The sequence below is a fragment of the Homo sapiens genome, chromosome 7 (assembly GCF_000001405.40).
Source record: "Homo sapiens chromosome 7, GRCh38.p14 Primary Assembly".
In the NCBI taxonomy this organism is placed as follows: Eukaryota; Metazoa; Chordata; class Mammalia; order Primates; family Hominidae; genus Homo; species Homo sapiens.
The window spans coordinates 151,506,986-151,522,481 of record NC_000007.14 but is presented as its reverse complement, the minus strand read 5'-3'; the positions used below and the strand labels follow the sequence as shown (position 1 = coordinate 151,522,481).

Genomic DNA, 15,496 nt, shown 5'->3' with positions numbered 1-15,496 from the left:
CACCATCTCAGCTCACTGCGGCCTCGACCTCCTGGGGTCAAGTGATCCTCCCACCTCAGCCCTCCACGTAGCTGGGACTACAGGCAGGTTCCACCACGCCCGGCTTTTTTTTTGTATTTCTTTGTAGAAACAGCTTTTCTCCATGTTCCCCAGGCTGGCTAAGTCACTTTTCAAACCAAACAAATTCTCCCCACTCTAGAATAAAGGAATCTTCTAAACCTTTGGATCCTACATTAAAGGGCTTGAAGACAGCAACTGGAAAACTTTTTTTTTTTTTTTTTTGAGACAGAGTCTCACTGTTTTGCCCAGGCTGGAGTGCAGTGGCGCTATCTGAGTTCACTGCAACCTCGCCTTCCAGTTTCAAGCAATTCTCCTGCCTCAGCCTCCTGAGTAGCTAGGATTACAGGCATGTGCCACCACGCCTGGCTAATTTTTGTATTTTTAGTAAAGACGGGGTTTCACCATGTTGGCCAGGCTGGTCTGGAACTCCTGACCTCGTGATCCGCCTGCCTCGACCTCCCAAAGTGCTGGGATTACAGGTGTGAACCACCGCGCCCAGCCTGGAAAACTTTTTGAATGAATTTGTCCTTTACAACTGTGCTTCACATCTGGATTACCAATATTCTCAGGCTAGGGCAGTGCTTTCAAACTTTTTGAAGCAACCCACTGTAAGAAACTTTACAATGAGGCCGGGCACGGTGGCTCACGCCTGTAATCCCAGCACTTTGGGAGGCCGAGGCGGGCGGGTCATGAGGTCGAGAGGTCGAGACCATCCTGGCCAGTATGGTGAAACCCTATCTCTACTAAAAATACAAAAATTAGCCAGGCGTCGTGGCGGGCGCCTGTGGTCCCAGCTACTCGGGAGGCTGAGGCAGGAGAATGGCGCGAACCCGGAAGGCGGAGCTTGCAGTGAGCCGAGATTGCGCCACTGCACTCCAGCCTGGGCGACAGAGAGAGACTCCGTCTCAAAAAAAAAAAAGAAAGAAACTACAGTAAATCCCAACATGCAATAATACATATATAGCATATCTATAAACATATATATCTACACGTGCACTTACACAAACTTACCCTTACTCATTTTTTTAACTCACCACTGTACTAATGAGGACACATACTTACCCTTACTATGCATAACGCAGTTTTCTATTCTGTTCTATTTTTTTTAAAAAAAGGTAAAACTAAACTGATTTTATAATGCAAGGAATTTAGTAGCATCTGTTCAAAAACACCGTGGTGAGGGTATCCGAATCCACAGGATAAAAACGACACATTTTACAGGAGAGTGCATTTTAAGACCTTTATTTTAAAATACTTAAAATAACTATAGCGTAAACCTCAACATTTCATGGAAACATAGAACTTCCAGACATTGATCACTTCTGGCTGGCTGCCTGGGGCTTCCATCTGTAGATCCCCGAGGACAAGAATGCACACCCCAGCCCCTCATCGGAGTGCTTCCGTGGGAAAGCTGGAGGGAGTCGCTCTTGGGTTGGGTGTTCCAAGTCGACTCCAGTCACCTCTAAACCTTCCTACGCTGGAATACAAGGCCTGCCACTCAGCTTCCCCTGGCTTCATTCCTCCCCACCGATCACTGGCAAAGGGCGAAGGGCCATGCCCGGCCTCTGCAGGTCCCCACTGCCAAACAGCCTGGGCAGAATAGGGGCGGGTTCCCCGGCGCGGCGGAGTCTCTGCTAACTCGGCAAGTGCCAAGCCCTCCAGCAGCCACCACGCCGGGCCTGCCTGCAGGCTGGTCCCTCAACGGCACCTGCGTTCCCGGCCGGGCTTCCCTTCCCGCGCCCCTCTGCACTGCACCCCTGGGAAGGCTGTGCCCACACCACGGTCTCCGCCCGTCCACACCGCGGCCCGAGGCGTTCCTGGCACCCGGCTCGGGCCTGCCCGCCGCACCAGCCGCCCCGGTGCTGGCGGAGAACCGGCTTCCCGCCCCGGCGCTGTTCCAGGAGGTGCGCCGAGCTCCGCGCGAAGCGAAGCGGACACCAGAACTGACGAGGCTCGCCCTGTTTTTAATGAAATTCCTAACACTTTGAATTAACGCAGACTCCATGCTTCCCACAGTCCTTCGGCCGTCGGTGACGCTTAGTCACCACTACATCCTCAAACCCAGACACGAACGCTAACGCAGCTCAAGGAGAATTTTCAAAAAACCCCGAGGGAGGAGCCAGCCCACCCGCCCAGGCCACGCGCCTCGCGCCCTTCACGGGCTCAGCGGGCGCGAACCCGCCAACCGCTTAGCGTTTCGCCAATCACCGCACCTCCCACCTATTGCCCCGCCCTGCGCTCCGTTCTGGCCAATCACCAGGGAGCCACCGTTTGTCTCTCCGCCTCTCCCGCCCGCCCCTAACCGGTTGGAAGTTTGAAGCCTTCAAACCTAGCCGGCGCCCAACAGCGCGGTAGCAGCGAGGTGTATTTTTAGCTCCCGGGCGGGCAGCCCCGCCCCCCCCTCCCCGCCTCCTTGTTTCCCCCAATGGGAGATGGAGTTTCCGACACGTCATCGCGCGGCTGTGCAGGAGCTGTCCAATCGGCGCTCGGGGAGAATGGCGTAATTAAAAAGCGGCGGAAGAAGGTGGGAGGGTCATGACGCAGCGAGTTTCAGTCGTGACTTTTCTGGGGGCATCGCGGCGTCCCCTTTTTTTGCCTTTAAAGTAAAACGTCGCCCCGACGCACCCCCCGCGTATTTCGGGGGGCGGAGGCGGCGGGCCACGGCGCGAAGAGGGGCGGTGCTGACGCCGGCCGGTCACGTGGGCGTGTTGTGGGGGGGAGGGGCGCCGCCGCGCGGTCGGTTCCGGGCGGTTGGGAGCGCGCGAGCTAGCGAGCGAGAGGCAGCCGCGCCCGCCGCCGCCCCTGCTCTGTATGCCGCTCTCTCCCGGCGCGGCCGCCGCCGATCACAGCAGCAGGAGCCACCGCCGCCGCGGTTGATGTGGTTGGGCCGGGGCTGAGGAGGCCGCCAAGATGCCGCAGTCCAAGTCCCGGAAGATCGCGATCCTGGGCTACCGGTCTGTGGGTGAGTGGCCGGTGGCCGCGCGGCCTCCTCGCGCCGCCGGGGCCTCGCCTGGGAGCCGGGTCGCGGCCGGGCCTGCGAAGTTTGGAGCCGGCGCGGCCATGTGGCGGGGCGGGCGGGGGCCGCGCGTTTCGTAACCACCATTCTGAGCGGAGGTGGTGGCGGTCGGGGCGGCGTCCGCGCCGGTGGAGGAGCCGCGGTAGCTGGGCGCCCTCCGCGGGCCGGGCGGGCAGGTGGCGGCCGGGCGGAGGGCGTGGGAGGCGCGGGGCGGGGGCCGTCGGCCGCCGAGGAGTCCGGGTCTCGTCTGGGGAAGTGAGGCGGCGCCGGGGAGCCGCGCTAGAGGCTGCCGCGAGGGAGTCACACCTGCCTCCCCGCCTTCGCCGCGGGCGCGCGTGACCGGGGCTGGCGGTCTCCCCCACCCCGCCCCCGATGTAAGGAAAAGAAAGTCCGTGGGATTTTAACAAAGGAAGCAGCGCCTCGGCTTCATTCCATCTGTGGTGAAGTTTACCCTTGTAAAGAAAACTAGGGATTTAGAGGACGTTTGGGCACTGAACGCAAGTTTTCTGCATAGGAAACCTAGGCGATCCCCCAAAAGAGGTCCCTCTGGAGGCCCTCGAGATGCTGCTGGCGGCCTGGGTAGGAAGACAGAGAAAAAGGAATGTCTGATCTCTCGGTGCCCTATTTTTGTTCGGGAAGGAATAAGGTCAGGTACTTGCAACCAGGCTGTTGAAGTAATTCCAAAGTCTTTTTGTTTTCTTTTTCTTCCCCCAAAAGGTTGACATACATTTGAAACAGTTCCTAGCAGTCGCCTTATTGCTGAATAAGGTGGCTTAGGGTCGGGTTGGGGGGCGGACGGGGTGTTACAGAACGAGCGGTTTTCTGGCCTGTGTGAAACCAGAGCGATTGAACTTAGACACGCTTCAGGGTGAGGCTGTATTGTCTCCCGACATCCGGAAGCCTGGAGAAATTAGTTCATCTTTTCGGGCTGTTTTGAAGTAACTGTCTATAGAAGGCGTGCACCGGGCCACAGTTGAGGGGATGGGGAGGTGAAAGCGAGGGTTCCGAGGCTCCCGTGATTGCGGAACGGGGTGACTATCTGTCATGGGAAGCTTGTACCTGCCTGCCGCTCACTGGATGCACTCCCCAACTGCGCTTTCCACCGCCTGTGCCAGGGTCTGTGCTCTTTGACCAAGATCAGCCACTGCATGCTTACTCATCCTTTTACCACCTCTCCGTCGAGAGCCGGGGGGAAATTAAGGGCTGAAAGAAGCTTGGCTAGAGATGCGGGGTGCCTAGAGTCGTAGGGGAACTCTTGTGCGATGCGGTGCTGAATCCGAGGGGATGCATAGGTGGCAGCTTTAACAGCTGCAGCCAGGAAGTAACCATGAATCAAATGGAGGGGTTCAAAGTCACTAATTGTTCAAATATCAACATGGAACCTGGGATCCAGCCTTTATTGGCAGCCTGAATCCATGCTCTTGTCTCTGTTCTCTTGATTTCCTCCTCTGCATTTTGAGGAGTTGGGACCGCGAGGTGTTCTGGCTCTTGGGTGAGCCTTCCCTAGTCAGTCAAGTAAGTACTTATTGGCAACTATTTGGAAATAGTAGTCCCTGAATAATCACGTTATAGGCAACAAGTACCTCGGCTACCTGATTTCAACCCAAGAGAATGACCTAAAGATCTTGACTGATTTACCCTTTTCAAATGTCGAAATGGTAGCTCTAGTCTTTGGTGAGCAGGGCTAGTTTTATCACTTTTTTTTTTTTTTTTTTGGCTACAGAAGTTCCTTATGTCCAGTTGAAATCCATTCTGTTTTATCTTCCCTCTATTCAGCGTCCTCCTGAGGACGGAGATGTGACAGGCCACCCCTTAGCCTTGTCCTCACAAACTGTTGCTTGTTAAATACTGTGCTAACTTAGTCTCCGGTGGGATACAGGGTCACTTTTAGTCCCTATTTTCTGTCTTCAGTATTTCATATTTCTGCAACCTACCCCACTTCTCCATATTTATTTTCAAGCGTAGTCATATTAAACGATTTTGGAGAGGTTAAGTTGCTCCCAATCTTGTATTTGATTTTTTTTTTTTTTTTTTTCCGAGACGGAGTTTCGCTCTTGTGACCCAGGCTGGAGTGCAATGGCGCGATCTCGGCTCACTGCATCCTCCACGCCCCGGACTCAAGCGATTCTCCTGCCTCAGCCTCCAGAGTAGCTGGCACTACAGGCGTGCACCACTATGCCCGGCTAATTTTGTATTTTTAGTAGAGACGGGTTTCACCACTTGGCCAAACGTCAGGCTTGTCTCAAACGCCTGACCTCAGGTGGTCCTCCCACCTTGGCCTCCCAAAGTGCTGGGATTATAGGCGTGAGCCACCATGCCCAGCCGCATTTGATTTTAAAGTGTATTATGAGCCAGGATATTTTGTAGTATGTGGGGTCTTTTTTAGGGGAAGGAGATTAGGTTTTGCCAGCAGGTTTCTTCTAGTAAGCCACCCTTTTGAGAATTACTCAGCATGCTCACTTCTGGGAGCTTACTGGCATGTTTGCTTGCAAATGGTGGTGCTGTACCAGAGAAATTTGAGTACCTGTGTTTCTAGATTGTGGTATTTTGTGATGCTGAGCTGTTTGTCCTATATTCTGGGGGTAGAGCCACATAAAAAGCCTCCACACCTTTCTTAGAATGTTCTCTTGATTAAATACATTAAGCCAGTTTGACTAGTAGGATACTTGTCATTGTGATTTGTCATGCCACAAACTTTATTTTTAAAGTTGTCTTCAGATAAAACAAAAAAGTGCTATGTTTGTTTAACTAGTTGGCTTTCTTTTTTTTTTTTTTTTTTTTTTGTGACAGAGTCTCACTCTATCACCCAGGCTGGAGTGCAGTGGCGGGATCTGGGCTCACTGCAACCTCTGCTGCCCAGGTTCAACCGATTCTCCTGCCTCAGCCTCCCAAGTAGCTGGGATAACAGGCGCCTGCCACCCCGCCCAGCTAATTTTTGTATTTTTAGTAGAGACTGGGTTTCACCATCTTGGCCAGGATGGTCTTGAACTCCTGACCTCGTGATCCACCTGCCTCGGCCTCCCTAAGTGCTGGGATTACAGGCATGAGTCACTGCACCCAGCCCACTACTTGGCTTTCCGTTTTCTTTTTTTCTTTTTTTTTGAGTGTTGTCAGAACTACCAATAGGTAAAATATAATTCTCAGGTAGTCTATACAATTCTCCCTGCCAGTCCCCTGTACTTTTCCTGGTATTTACAATGTTAAAGCTTTTAAGGACACGTCACCTATAACTCTGGGAGTCTGGCTTTCAGGGAGTGCTTTGTATTAACTGTTGCCGTGATGGCCAAAAGTACCAGCTCCCTGACATTCCGTTATTTCTACCACAACGGAGTAGTCCCGCGATAGGAAGTAACTCAACTTAAAATGGTAGTGTTACGTAAACTGTCTTCAGCCTGGTACATCTTTCACTGGGATTTTACCTGTACAGAGAGCTTTGGTAACCTAGTTTACCATTAGACCATAATTAAAAGCTGGTTGTCATATATAAGCCTCTTACATACAGTTAATAAGAGGGATGGGATCACAGGCATGTGAAAGATCATAGGGGGAAAATGAAACAGCTTTGTGGTTTGGAAGAAGGCAATTCAGCAAAAGTACTCAAATTATTACTTTGTCAAAATGTTTAGGTAGTATTTAGAGTCTTCATGAGGAAAGATGTCATTAAATATTTGGTTGTTCCCAGCAGATTCTGACTTACTGTTTATTTTTTAAGTTAACCTATCATTTGTTGACACTTTTTATTGAAAAATTGAAAGGCAAAACAATATTTGCTATGTATGACATCTACCAGTATGTGAAATTGTATATTCAGGTGCTTAATATTCTGATGTTGTATACTTGTGGGTGGGGGTAGTCCTGAAGTGCCCACTTTGTATTGAAACTTGAAATTACTGTTTTTCAGTCTCATTCATTGTTCTGCACAAGAGCATAATCAGAATTCAGATTTCTGATTATGGCTTTCCAGTGCCAAATGTTATTTTGCTGTCCATATGGGTTATATCTCTCTGTACTTCATCACCCCAAAAAGAAACTCTGTACTCATTAGCAGTCACTCTCCATCCTGCTTCCCTGTCAGCCCCTGGCAACCACTAATCTTTCTGTTTCTATGAATTTACTTACTCTGGACATTTCATATAAATAAGAACATACATATGTGGTCTTCTGGGGCTGGCGTCTTTTACTTAGTATAATGTTTTCAAGGTTCGTTCATGTTGTAGCATATGTCGCTTCTTCCTGTTTAGTGCTGACTAATATTCTGTCATGTGAGTATACCACATTTTTTCTATGCATTTGTCAATTGGATATGTGGGTGGTTTCTTTTCTTTCTTTTTTTTTTTGGCTATTATTTTTTATTTATTTACTTTTCTGAGGCAGGGTCTTGCTCTGTTGCCCAGGCTGGAGTGCAGTGGAGCTATCATGGCTCACTGCAGTGTCAACCTCCTGGACTCAAGTGATCCTCCTGCCTCAGCTTCCCGAGTAGCTAGGACTGCAGGTGTGCGCCATCACACCCAGCTAGTTTTTTTATTTTTTTGTAGAGGTGGGAACCTTGCTTTGTTGCCCAAGCTGGTCTTGAACTCTTGACCTCAAGCAATCCTCTGGTCTCAGTCTCCCAGTGTTGGGATTACAGGTGTGAGACACCACTTGGAGCTCTACTTTCTGGCTACTATGAATAATAATGTTTTGAACATTCCTGTACAAGCTTTTATGTAGACATGTTTTCATTTCTCTTGGGTACATTCCTAGGAGTGGAATTGCTGGGTCATTATGGTTAACTCTGTGCTTAATATTTTGAAGAACTGTCAGATTTTTTCCAGAACAGCTGCACAATTTTATATTCCCATCAGCAATGTATGAGGGTTTAATTTTCTCCACATTCTCGTCAACAATTGTTACACTGCCTTTTTCATTTTAGCCATCCTATTGGGTGTGAAGTGGTATCATAGGATTTGCAAATAATTTCTCCTGTCTGTGGGTTGTCCTTTTACCTTCTCGATGGTGTCCTTCAAAGCAGAAAGTTTTTAATTTGAAGGCCGATATATCTATTTTTCTCCTGCCACTTATGCTTTTGGTGTCACATCTTAGAAGCCATTGCCTAATCCAAGGTCATATAGATTTACTACTATATTTTCTTCTAGATATTTTATCCTGTTAACTCTTACATTAGATCTGTGATCTATTTGTGGTTAATATTTGTATATGATGTGAGGGAGGGATAGAACTTTATACTTTTGCATGTGGATATCAAGTTGCCCTAGCTTCTTTTGTTAAAATAATGTTCTTTCTTCATTGAATTCCCTTGTCCGAGATGAAGTGACCGTCAATAGAAGAACTCACTCATTCCATTGATCTGTATGTCTGTCCTGCCAGTACCATACGATCTTGATTACTGTAGTTTTGTAGCTGGTTTTTAAATAGGGGCATATGAGTCCTCTAACTTTATTATTTCTGAAGATGTTTTTGGGTATTCTCAGTCCCTTGCATTTCCATATTGAATTTTAGGACTAGATTGCCAGTTTCTGCCAAAAAAGCAACTGCAATTTTGATAAGGTGTTTCACGGTTTTGCAGGTATCTTTTAATGTCTTAACAGCTGGATTCTCATCTCTGCTCCTGAATTCATTCCCTTAACGTTATTTTAATGAAGTAAGGAGTACTTGAATAGTTTTTCAGGTAGTTGAATATTCTTTGATACCGAAACTTCATAAGTGATAGTTTGCAAAGAATAGTTACACTATGCAATCTGAAATCATATTGATGAATTTGCCCAACTCCGCAGGTCTGCTTTATACTTGGAATGGATCTTCTACCATGCCTGGTTTTGTAGCGTTACTGGTCATTTGGAAAATATTTGTTCATCGTTACGCAGATCTTCCACATGTTGACACATTTTATTATACAAGCATTTTTAAAAATCACATTTGTTAATATCACCACCAATCTCTGCAAAGTCTTAAGTTTTAGAACACTGTTCGCTATGAGTGGTGCAAGTTTTCCAAAATTCTAATTTCCTCCTTGAGTTCAAATAATTTCCTTGGCAACATGCTACCAGTTTTTACTTGAATTGACTGTTTTGTTTCTTTAATTTCCAAGAAAATGTCTGCCAGCTATTCACATTTGCAATAATGATAGTTTGTCATCATTCTTGCAAGTAAAAAAGGCATTCCATGATAAAAGTGGCCAGTTCAGATCACTTCTCAAATGACTGCACAAGTGCTTTTTTTGGAAACAACCATCATACTTCAGTATGTAACAGAGGTGCTTTATGTGTACATCTCATTTTGTCGTGCAGAATATTAAAAAGACAGGTACCAAAGGGTCAAGATTTAATATAATTTTACTGCTTTTTCAAGGACACTGTTAAGTAGAAACAGCTCTTTTCCCACTGTGAATGCATGGTAGTAAAGAATACAGTGACTTACCACTCAGTTTGTAACTACTGTTTTTGATTCATGCCAAGGGGTGCCGAGCTAGCAGTTTTCCCTACCATTGCTTTTGCACCCTTAGTACAAATGGGAACTTTGTGGAAAAGGCAAATGATAACTTAATATTGCTATGAATATCGTTTTGACCTCATGAGACCCCTGAAAAGATTTTGGTAAACCCCTTAGAGGTCCACAGACCACCCTTTGAGAACCATTAAACTGTTGTAAGCTAGGATCTTGTTCACTGCTGTGCAAAATCGAATTGACAGTGACTGCATCCTAAATGCTGTTCACAGCGATATGGTTCCCACAGTGTTAGAAGAGCCTCCTAGGAGAGGCCCTGTAGCGTTGTGAGAGACAAAGATGGCAAGGCAGGAAAGAACTTGGCGTGGTTAGAATGGAAGGAAGCACGAGGGAGGCCAGAGAACATCAGGAGAGTTATGATATCTGTGTGCCTATTGGTTTGGCCTCTGATTGTGTTGCATTTTTGGATGAGTTGTGTTTGGACCTGGTGATGGCGAGGCTCCCAGAGAGTAGTGAAAATTGCAAAGAGTAGCAGGATACCAGAGACCCATATACTAATAATATAGTTTTTAAATACGAGTATCAGGATGAAGGTGGGGAGGAGTACACAAGTAAAAATAGCAACTTTATCACAGAATGAGACACTGCCACCTCTACCTGTGATTGTGGAAGGTCAGAGATGCACAATGCTTTTCTTGGGTGAAGATTCAGAATAACAAGTTCGCAAACAACTGTAATAGTGTCCATGGCTGGATTGTTCTTAGTTACTTGAATAAATCAGAACTGAACTTGCACATGATTGTGCAAGTGAGAGTATTATGAAATCTTTAGGGATCATACTTGAAGGAACCTTCATTCTTAGTTCTAATTTATTCTGAAGTACCAAATGAAATCTTAACATTGATACAGTACTCACGGTCTATCTTCGTCACGTCATTCTTGCTAACTGTGAGAATGCAAACTGCTGAGTCCTTTTAACATGAATTGCTGGATTGATTTTTAAATATAATCAGCTGTGCGCAGTGGCTCTCGCCTATAATTCCAGCACTTTGGGAGGCCAAGGCGAGTGGATCACCTGAGGTCAGGAGTTCGAGACCAGCCTGGCCAACCTGGCGAAACCCTGTCTCTACTAAAAATACAAAAATTAGCTGGGCGTGGTGGTGGGCGCCTGTAATCCCAGCTACTAGGGAGGCTGAGGCCTGCAGGAGAATCACTTGAACCCGAAGGGGGAGGTTGCAGTGAGTCGAGATCGCGCCACTGGGCGACAGAGCAAGACTCCATCTCAAAAAAAAAAAAAGAAATCTAACATTTTAAAGGTTCTGGAATACTATTTTAGTATTTTAATTTTCTTCAATATATGTTGGGCTTCTGGTTATTAAAAAAAAAAAAGGAGTTCCTGTAGGATTGGAGCTTTAAATCTAAACTGGTATTAGTTTAGAACAGGAAGTGCTAGAAAAGCCTTTACGTTGTGCTCTTATGGGCAAGTTAAGAAAGCAGGGCAGTTTAAAGATAGTGATAGAATTCACTCCGAAGTGTCATGCTTGCTTGGTTTGCGTCTTATCTGTAGTAGAATTGAGTCTTTCTCTCCCGCATTTCTCTTTTTGTTGTGCTTACATGTTTGCAGAAGGACTCCTCATGGACATTTGAAAGAGAAGTTGGTGTTTTAGCAAGATACACCATCCCACCTTTTGCAGGATTGAGAGTTGAATGTTAATAACTACCTGATGGCATAGTACATAATTTGTGAATGGGGATGCAAATATGGGCTTTTACAGTTAATACAGTTTTATGAGATGAAATGCTTTTCTAAGACTTCTGTGTCTTAGATATAAATGTGTCTGCCTATTTTGCTAGCTTTATTTTTTTTTTTATTTTTTATTTTTTGAGACGGAGTCTCACTGTGTCATCCAGGCTGCAGTGCAATGTCGCGATCTCGGCACACTGCAGCTTCAACCTTCCAGCCTCAAGGATCCTCCCGCCTCAGCCTCCCGAGCAGCTGGGACTATGGGTGTGTGCCACCATGCCCTGGCTATTTTTTTATTTTTTTGTAGACATGAGGTCTTACTTGTTGCCTCGACTGGTCTCGAAGTCCTGGACTCAAGCGATCCAGCCACCTCAGCCTCCCAGAGTTCTGGGATCACAGGCTGAGCCACTGCACCTGTATTTTGCTGGCTTTAAAATCTCAATCACATTTGGCATTTGTTTGAAAGAGAACATTTGGGCCAGGCCCCCAAAGATTGAATCACTGCAACTGTTGGTTGAAGAGGACAGTTTGTGAGTGTTATGTGTTATTCAAATTAGGTGTTCATTAAGCATTTGAATAAATGCTCTACTTTGTACCAGTCACAAAAGCTAGGACAGTTATAATCCTTGCCCTCAAGGAGCTTCAGTCTAGTTGAGAGCCACAGGAACTTGTTCCTGCTACTGAGAATAATAATTGTTGGTGCTTTTGAAGCATTTACTGTTATGGGGTACAATCTTAATGCACATGTATTAATAGCCTTTAAACTCGGGTAGGTGCAGTTGTTACACCTATTTTGCAGATAAGGAAACTGAAGTACAAAAAGTTTATGTGACTTGCCCAATGTCAAACTGTTGTTAAGTGACAAAGCCAGGATTTTGAACTCAGGCAGTGGCTCCAGAGCAGGCAGTCTTTAATCAGCTACTACACGATTGTTACTTAAATACAGTTGGGATAGGTGTTTGAGAGAAATAATCAAAGGCAGGGCTAACTTGATCATCAAGTGGGGATGGGGGTGGTGGGAGAATTGTCTTTAAAGGAAAGGCAGTGTGGCTCACTGAGTGAATGAGAAGGGTGAGGTGTGAGTAATGAGAGAGGTCGGGACTCATGTGTTTGCCAACTGTCCTTCAAGAACAGTTTTGTCTGCTCTGTGAAAAGTTTTAGACTTTTTCCTAGAAACTGTGGGAAGTGACTGAAGGGTTTTAAGCAACAAATAAGACGATGATCTATACCAGGGACTGGCAGACTTGTTCTGTAAAAGGCCAGATAGTAAATATCTCAAGCTTTGCAGGGCAGGCCATGTAGCCTCTCTTGCAGCTATTCTACTTTGCCTTTGTAGGACGGAAGCAGCCACAGACAATACATCAACGAGTGGGTGTGGCTGTGTGCTAGTAAAACTTTATTTATGGATATAACACTTGAACTTCATCTGATTTTCAGTATCATGAAATACTGTTTCTTTTTCCAACCACTTAAAGATGAAAAAAACATTTTTAGCTCATAGACTGTACAAAACCAAAACAGGCTGTAGGCCAAATTTGGCCCCTGGTCTGTAGTGTGCTGATCCTGGCTTCCATCCTCCTGCTGTTCTGTGAAGTGGGAGGGGTGGTAAGGGAGTAGAAATGGGAAGACCAGCCAAGGCGCAGAGTAGATGAGATGAAGAGGACGCACATGGGAGATTTCCTTAGAGGGAGAATGGGCAAGACCAATGTGGAAGCTGTGAAGTAGCCTTCAGATTTCTCATGTGAGTGCCTGAGTAGGTCATGTTGCCATTGGCTAAAATCAGAAATGATGGAACAGGAGCAAGTTTAAGGGGTGGACCAGATTTATTTATGCACCTGCCAGATCCACACACTTTCCTTGCTTTCTGGCCACAGAGGCCCTAGCGACCACCCACACAGGGCACAGTTCCCATGGTCCCGAAGACAGGTGGCTGTGCCTACAAGTAGGGTTCTGAGGGTTTGCTGGCCCTGGGTCCTTGTGTCACCCAAGGATTTGACCAAGCATACCCTCACACCGCAGGATTGTTGCCCCAGAGACAAATGAGGTTGCTGGGCCCGGGTGGCCCCACACGCTCACGTTGCCCACTCAGGCAGGCAGTGTCTTACTACAAGGATGTTTGTCATTCCTGCTTGCTGGGAGGGGGAGTTGGACTCTTTCTCTAGATCTTTTCATTCTGCATAAGAGTGCTACAAAAATGTGTGAATATGTTTTATAATAATAAATTGCTTTCTTAATCTAACCATGTTTCTGTATGAGCAGTGTCCTAAAAAATTGAGCTGTACACAAAATGAGCCTACCTTCCAATTTTTTTAGACTTCTATGGAAGTATTTCTGGAGCACAAATTTAGGGAGCTAAATTTATACAAATAATATGATCCTATTCCCTTAAACAAGGGTACAGAGCAGCCTTGCCCAATGGAAACAATCTGGCCTGGTGCAGTGGCTCACGCCTAGAATCCCAGCACTTTGGGACCCAAGGTGAGAGGACCACTTGAGCTCAGGAGCTCCAGAACAACCTGGGCAACACAGCGAAACCCTGTCTCTACAAAAGTGGGAGGCTGAGGTCTCAAAAAAAAAAAAAAACTAAAAATATAACCTAATGTAATTTTAGATTTTTCCAGTAGGCATATTAAGTAAAAAGAAATAAGTGAAATTAATATACTTAATTTAGCTCAGTATGTCCAAAATGTTATTTCAACATGTGATGGATATTGTTGATATTTGTACATTTGTCATACTTACACTGTGACACATCTCAGTCGGAACTGAGCACATTTCAGGTACTTACTGTCCATGTATGGCTACTGGCTGCCATATTAGACAGCCCAGATACTGTGAGGAGTGAATTGGTGTTGATAATGAGGTCAGCGCAGATTTTAAGAACTTTTGAAGAAATTATCTTTATAAAATATGAATGGTTTTAACCATTCAGGCTGACGGATGAGTATACTCTATTTCATATCTCATTTTCCTCATACTGTGTTATTACTAGTTTTGATCATTCTTAAATTTCATGTTCTTTAATATGTTAAGAAATAGAGAATTTTTGTCTTTGCTTTTCTCTAGCTCTTTCCCACCCTCACCTGTATCCCAGGTCTTCTCTCCAGATTGGCCACCGTTCTAGGAAAACTCATTCTTCATTGTTGCTAAACATTTAATTTCCTGCAGTTTATCAGGGCTATTATTGTTGCCTTCCACCTCAGCTTTGTCTTTAAACCATCCTGTAGAGATGAATATCCTGTTTTGAAAATCTCCAGGGAAACAGTTTTATGGCCTTTCTGGGTAGCACTTTATTTTTCTTTAGTTTAATAATCCTGTTAATAAAATTCTTCATTTATGAAACTGAGTCCTTCATGTTATATAATTAAACGTATTTCTTATTTTCCTCAGTGGTATATATCTGGTAGCATAATAATTGGCAATAGGGTTACCTATAAGTATTTGAAAGGGTATTTTTATGAACTAGTTTTACTTTTTCTGCCTTGTCTTTGTCATAATAATAATAATTGCAGTTTAATTTTTTCTTTTTTTTAAAATCTCCCAGCATCTATTTTTAAAATTGGGGAAGGGGTGTGAGAAAGAACAACATGATGTCAACCCTGCTTAGCTCACAGGAACAAGCGAGATAATTCATGTGAGAATGTTCCGTAAACTCTAACGGTGTCTCACTTTTTAGGTTCTGTACAATAATTAAGATGTGTATGTTCTGCATCACACACTCTCATCTGACTCTATATGACGGACATGTGGGGATTGGTATTCCAATTAGAATCGTAAACATCTTTTCAAAACACTTCCTTAGTGACACTATATATATGTGTGTGTGTAATATACATAGACACACACAATACAACACATATCACCCCTCCCTCTCGAAAAAGCAACAACCACCAATCCTGCCATAGGGGGAGCTACACATTTCTTACTAGAGTGGGTGCATACGATTGTTAAGCATATGATTGGCATTGTGTGTCATGTAAGGAACACATAGAAACCTTTATGCGGTTCATTGTTTTTCCAGCCTTTTAACAGTGGTGATTCAGGTTTCATTCCATTTATAAGCCAGGTGAGTCTGCAGTCTTTTTTCTGCCGTTTACAAACCAAGTCTGCTTTACTGGTGTCTGTTCTATTGTTAGTCCCCAACGAGGCACTCTCCTGGTATTCCTGTGCTTGCCCTGTGACTGTCTTGAGCCTGCAGAATGCAGCAGAGATGGTGATGTGCCAGTTCCAGG

General features: G+C 45.6%; 1 protein-coding gene across 3 annotated transcripts in view, besides 8 other annotated features; it reads left to right on the top strand.

Annotated features, from left to right (window-relative positions):
- Positions 2,137-2,186: a silencer, noted in NCBI's record as "silent region_18821". NCBI's record gives its function as "represses an Ori minimal core promoter by ATAC-STARR-seq in GM12878 lymphoblastoid cells {active_cell/tissue: GM12878}" and the evidence as "EXISTENCE:reporter gene assay evidence [ECO:0000049][PMID:35858748]".
- Positions 2,227-2,576: a silencer, noted in NCBI's record as "silent region_18820". NCBI's record gives its function as "represses an Ori minimal core promoter by ATAC-STARR-seq in GM12878 lymphoblastoid cells {active_cell/tissue: GM12878}" and the evidence as "EXISTENCE:reporter gene assay evidence [ECO:0000049][PMID:35858748]".
- The window catches only part of RHEB (Ras homolog, mTORC1 binding), a 53,884-nt gene continuing 40,974 nt past the window's right edge, over positions 2,587-15,496 (top strand). For 2 of the 3 annotated variants that reach the window (NM_005614.4, XM_011516457.3), the window contains exon 1: positions 2,587-3,022. In NM_005614.4, the coding sequence (NP_005605.1) occupies positions 2,971-3,022 (52 nt within the window). In that variant the 5' untranslated portion in view covers positions 2,587-2,970. Of the gene's footprint in view, positions 3,023-3,504; positions 3,723-15,496 lie in introns of those variants that run through there. The other variant, XM_024446854.2, reaches the window with a different exon arrangement.
- Positions 2,747-2,906: a silencer, noted in NCBI's record as "silent region_18819". NCBI's record gives its function as "represses an Ori minimal core promoter by ATAC-STARR-seq in GM12878 lymphoblastoid cells {active_cell/tissue: GM12878}" and the evidence as "EXISTENCE:reporter gene assay evidence [ECO:0000049][PMID:35858748]".
- Positions 2,907-3,336: a silencer, noted in NCBI's record as "fragment chr7:151216232-151216661 (GRCh37/hg19 assembly coordinates)". NCBI's record gives its function as "represses an EF-1alpha promoter that drives an FKBP-Casp9 reporter gene in an ReSE screen in HepG2 liver carcinoma cells and phorbol 12-myristate 13-acetate-treated (for megakaryocytic differentiation) K562 erythroleukemia cells {active_cell/tissue: HepG2 | K562(+PMA)}" and the evidence as "EXISTENCE:reporter gene assay evidence [ECO:0000049][PMID:32094911]".
- Positions 2,907-3,376: a biological region, named in NCBI's record as "ReSE screen-validated silencer GRCh37_chr7:151216232-151216661".
- Positions 3,077-3,196: a silencer, noted in NCBI's record as "silent region_18818". NCBI's record gives its function as "represses an Ori minimal core promoter by ATAC-STARR-seq in GM12878 lymphoblastoid cells {active_cell/tissue: GM12878}" and the evidence as "EXISTENCE:reporter gene assay evidence [ECO:0000049][PMID:35858748]".
- Positions 3,267-3,376: a silencer, noted in NCBI's record as "silent region_18817". NCBI's record gives its function as "represses an Ori minimal core promoter by ATAC-STARR-seq in GM12878 lymphoblastoid cells {active_cell/tissue: GM12878}" and the evidence as "EXISTENCE:reporter gene assay evidence [ECO:0000049][PMID:35858748]".
- Positions 4,407-4,456: an enhancer, noted in NCBI's record as "active region_26866". NCBI's record gives its function as "activates an Ori minimal core promoter by ATAC-STARR-seq in GM12878 lymphoblastoid cells {active_cell/tissue: GM12878}" and the evidence as "EXISTENCE:reporter gene assay evidence [ECO:0000049][PMID:35858748]".